At 41.8% G+C, this 4,732-nt stretch overlaps 1 pseudogene; it reads left to right on the forward strand.

The window, feature by feature from the left end:
• Positions 308 to 417, forward strand: RNA5SP100 (RNA, 5S ribosomal pseudogene 100; annotated as a pseudogene).

Consider the following 4,732-nt stretch of genomic DNA (forward strand, 5'->3'; position numbering starts at 1 on the left):
ATTTCTGTTCAGGCTGCAAAATCTTGTGCACTATTTACATATTTAGGTATGAACTGTCTCAAAGGGTCTTTCATTTAAAAATGACCAACATGGAGAAACCCCATCTCTACTAAAAATACAAAATTAGCCAGGCGTGGTAGTGCATGCCTGTAATCCCAGCTACTCCGGAGGCTGAGGCAGGAGAATGGCTTGAACCCGGGAGGCAGAGGTTGCTGTGAGCCGAGATAGCACCATTGCATTCCAGCCTGGGCAACAAGAGCGAAATTCCATCTCAAAAAAAAAAAAAAAAAAAAAAAAAGAGGATGTAGGCTACAGCCATATACCCTGAACATGCCCAATCTCATCTGATCTTGGAAGCTAAAAAGGGTCAGACCTGATTAGTACTTGGATGGGAGAAAATGAAGGTGGAGATAGTTCTTTGTGAAGACACATGTGTGTACTTATTTGTGCACTTGTGTGCTTGCAATTGCATCTTGGGCACATGTGTATTGTGGAGGCATCTGTGTGCCTGTGGAGTGTGTATACATAAGTACCTGATGTATGTTTGGCTGCAGAGGCACAGAAGGTCAGCAACAGCAGGTGGCTGCATGCAGGGGCACTAATAATTACTCATTTTATACAAACTGTTTAGCAACAATGTTAGCTATTCTACTGCTGACTTTACGAACAGAGAAAATGTGGCCGGACACAATGGCTCCTACCTGTAATCCTAGCACTTTGTAGGGGCTGAGGCAGAAGAAGCCCTTGAGCTCAGGAGTTTGAGACCAACCTGGGTGACGTAGTGCGACCTAGTCTCTAATAAAAATTAAAAAAAAAAAAAACTATCCAGGTGTGGTGGTGCATGCCTATAATCCCAGCTACTTGGGAGGCTGTAGCAGGAGGATCACCAGAGCCCAAGAGTTTCAGACTGCAGTGAACCATGATTGCTCCACTTCACTCTAGCCTGGATGACAGAGCAGGACCCTGTCCCCCTGCCACAAAAAAAGAAAAGAAAAGAAAAGAAAAAAGAAACATAGAATAGAAAACGTCTCCTGGTTTGCATCCTGGAATAGAGAAATGAGCACAGGCTTTCAAATCAAACAGTAGTGATTCATATCCTGCCCCTGGCACTCACCCAGCATCTCTGAACCTGAATATTTTCATCCAGGTTGACTTAAGGATGAAATGGAAAAAGGTTTACAAAGTACCTGGGGCATAGCAAAGGATTCAATAAATGTTCTCTCCCTTTTCTTCTATATTAGTTATCTATTGCTAAATAACAAATTAACCCAGAACTTAGCAGCTTAAAACAGCAAGTGTTTTTCTGATAGTTTCTATGAGTCAGGAGCCCAGGCAAAGCTTCGCTGGGTCTTCTGGCTCACAGTCTCCCAAAGGCTGCAATCAAGGAGTAATATAAGGCTATGGTCTCATCTGAAGGCTCAACTGAGGGATGCTTCCTTTCCAAGCTCACTCATGTGATTATTAGCAGGTTCAGGTTTTGGCTGACTCTTGGTCAGACACTCCCCCAGCCTCTGGTTTCTTGCTACTGGGCCTCTTCATAGAACACCCACAACATGGCTGCTGGCTTCCATCAGAACAAGAAAGCAAGAGAGCAAGAGAGGGTGAGCAGGATGGAAGTCATTTTCTTCTTGTAACTTCTCAGAGGTGCTGTTCATCAGTTTCACCATATTGTGTTTGTTAGGAACAAGACATTAGGTTCAGCCAAGATATAAGGGAGTGGAGAGGATTATACAAGGGCATGAATACCAGGAGACATGGATCACTGGAGGCCATCTTAGGGGCTGCAGGGAAGCCTGTCCTCCAGCCCCCAGTGATTCACATCCTCCACCCCATGCAAAATACATGTGTGTCCTGCCAAGATCCCTAAAAATCTCCTCCCCCTTCAGCATCAACCAAAGTTCAGAATCTCATCAAATCAGGTATTGGGGTGGGGACTTCTTGAGAATGACTAGTCACATGCAGCTCCTAGAGTACAGTTCCTCTCTCTCCGAGAGCCTGTGAAACTAGAGAGACACAGTATCTGCTTCCATACGCCTAGCATTAAATGGTATAACAGGCATGGGTTAGCTCTATATCTGTCTCCTTTTTCTCTAGATGTTTGATGAGACAAGTATTTTAATTTTGTATTCCACTAATTTATTCATTCAACAAATACTTATTAGGTACTGACTATAGACTCTTTATTTATTTTGCATTCCCATTTTGCCAACAAGGAATCTGAGAATCAGAGGCAAAATATTACAGCTTGGCCCACTGAATTATTTTTTCTTCTCTGAAAGGACCTCTAGGATTCTCCATCAATGAGGACTTTCTAGTCACAGCTGCAGTGAGGTTTGAGTTTAGCTGATTAGACCATCAACCACAAAGACTATACATTCAAATACTTTTATGTGGCAGAATATCTAAGAATAATTCAAGCTAATAAAAGATCTAGAGAATAATTAGATATATTCATTGTTAATAAGAGCCATTTAATATTGTAGCAAAGGCAAGATCAGGGCAGGATCAAGGCAGATAATTTTCAAACATGCCTAATGATAGTGTAGACCAATGGTGTTTTTCAATTGTGGCTATATACATTCTAACACATTCAATTTTTTTTAAAAAGTGAAGCTTAGGTCCTATTCCTTAGAAATTCAGATTTAACTAATTTGGAGTGGGCCCCAGACATCAATATTTTAACTTTCAAGTGATTCTAGGAAAGACAGGTTTAGGGGCTGTGGAGAGACACAGAATGGCAAGTACTTAGAACATTCACACATCCCCCACCTCCCAAGCTCCTAATAGAAATCATTTATTAGCCAGTCCCCTCAATGTCATTGGTTGGAATGCAATTGTGTAGTCTTTCTCATCCCAGGACTCCAGGCAGCCCCTACCCATGAAGCCAAGTTGACATATGAAGGCATATGTGTTAGCCCTGACAAGCCACACTGGGCATGCTTTCCCAAACCTACAAATTATCAAGGGTGTAGAAAAATAGAGCCCTCTCCATGCTGAGCAGATCTCACTCATGTAGACAACAGGTCTAATTACCCATTGGAAAGGGCCACTGGAAGAGCACAGGAAAAGGTCCAAGATGGAGAGGGAATTTACAGCCAAGTCTGATAATGGTTTCAGAACCTCAAAATACTTCACCTGGAGAGGACCCATGGGCAATATACATGAAGGAGTTCTCCTCTTCCTGAGTCCCTCCAAAGAGTTGTGTAAAGCCCAAAAGGGGGGCTCTCCAGGAGTAGATGCTATTCAAATCCCACTTCTATCCCTTACTAGAAGTATAACCTGGCTTGCTATTGAGCCTCTCTCAGCCTCCTTTTCCAAATGAGGACAATGGTGCCTATGTCACAAGAATATTGCAGTGATTCCATGAGAAGATGTATACAAAGCACCTTGCCCAATAGATAGTCAACAAATGCTGGTTGTCACCATTATTCTGTCAGTGTTGGTGGAGTGCTGGTACTCATAGTTCACTAAGAGTTTTTAGGACAGCAATGATCTTAGAAGAGAATCAGATCAAAGTTCTGAGTGTTTTCCCTGGAACTGGCATTGTATTATTAATATCCTACAAATGGGAGACATGTATCCCCTGGTCTCATACCTGGAATATCAAAATGGTACTTCATTAACAGTGTCAAAGCAAAAGTCTGATGGCTCTGACTGCTCTTGTGAGTAGGGGTACTCATATTCCCTTTAAGCCCTTCCCCCAAATTGGCCTAGAGGTCCAGGGGGTTCCACATGGGCTCAACATTCTCTGATTAACTCTCCCCTCATATCAACAACTTCCTCCTATCAAGCTTGACATCTTGTCCTATTTCTTCCTATTCTAGGTGTAGGCAAGTCTAGTTTGCTCTTCAGCTACTCTATCCCTCTCCTGCATATTGACTCTTGAATTCTTGATCCCTAGTAGCTTCTCACAGTCTGTGAAATGGAGCATGGAACCACTACATAGAAACAGGAAGGTTCTGCCCTGTACTCTCAGCTCTTAAGGGCACAGTCACAAGAAGACCATTTTTAAATTCTCATTGTGTAACACCCTTACACATTCCACATGCATCATAGCACATAACTCTGACAATAAACTACAAGGTAAGCAACTAATTATTCCCTTTTTAATATTTTTTAAACCTAGGAAGGTAACTTAATCTCTTTGACTTCCAGTTCTCATGAACTAGAACATTAGAGAATCAAGATTTGAACCAGAGGTGATGGTTTTTAAAATATGTCTGCTAGATATCAAAATGAGTGCATGGGATTTGATATATGTACACAGGTAGGCATAGAAATAGATAGAGATGCTCAAGGATATGTGTATATGCACATATGAATATGTGTGCATGTATATACATGTATCCATTTCCCAACTCTGTCTTTTAAGAGGATATAGAAACAATATCACCCCAGTAACAATAAACACCCTAGTGCCCACATCTTGATTTCTCCATATCATTTTCTGCTAGAAGGAACCCTGGTCTCCTTGGAAAAATGGATGATTCCAAGGCTTGGACAGGGAATACACAAGATGAGTCTGACATATCTCATGTTGAAAAGTAACAAACTACTCAAAGAATAATGACAGCATGTCAAAAGGACACAAGAACCAACTTAAAGGGCTCCCACTCACCAAATCTAGGGCAACCTAAATATCATGATAAGTATGGATACCCTCAGTTCACTGAGAGATTTGAGGTCAGGGACAGTCTTAGAAGACAATAGAAAACAGTGTTCTGAGTGTTGC

This window comes from Homo sapiens, chromosome 2 (genome assembly GCF_000001405.40).
Source record: "Homo sapiens chromosome 2, GRCh38.p14 Primary Assembly".
Taxonomy (NCBI): Eukaryota; Metazoa; Chordata; class Mammalia; order Primates; family Hominidae; genus Homo; species Homo sapiens.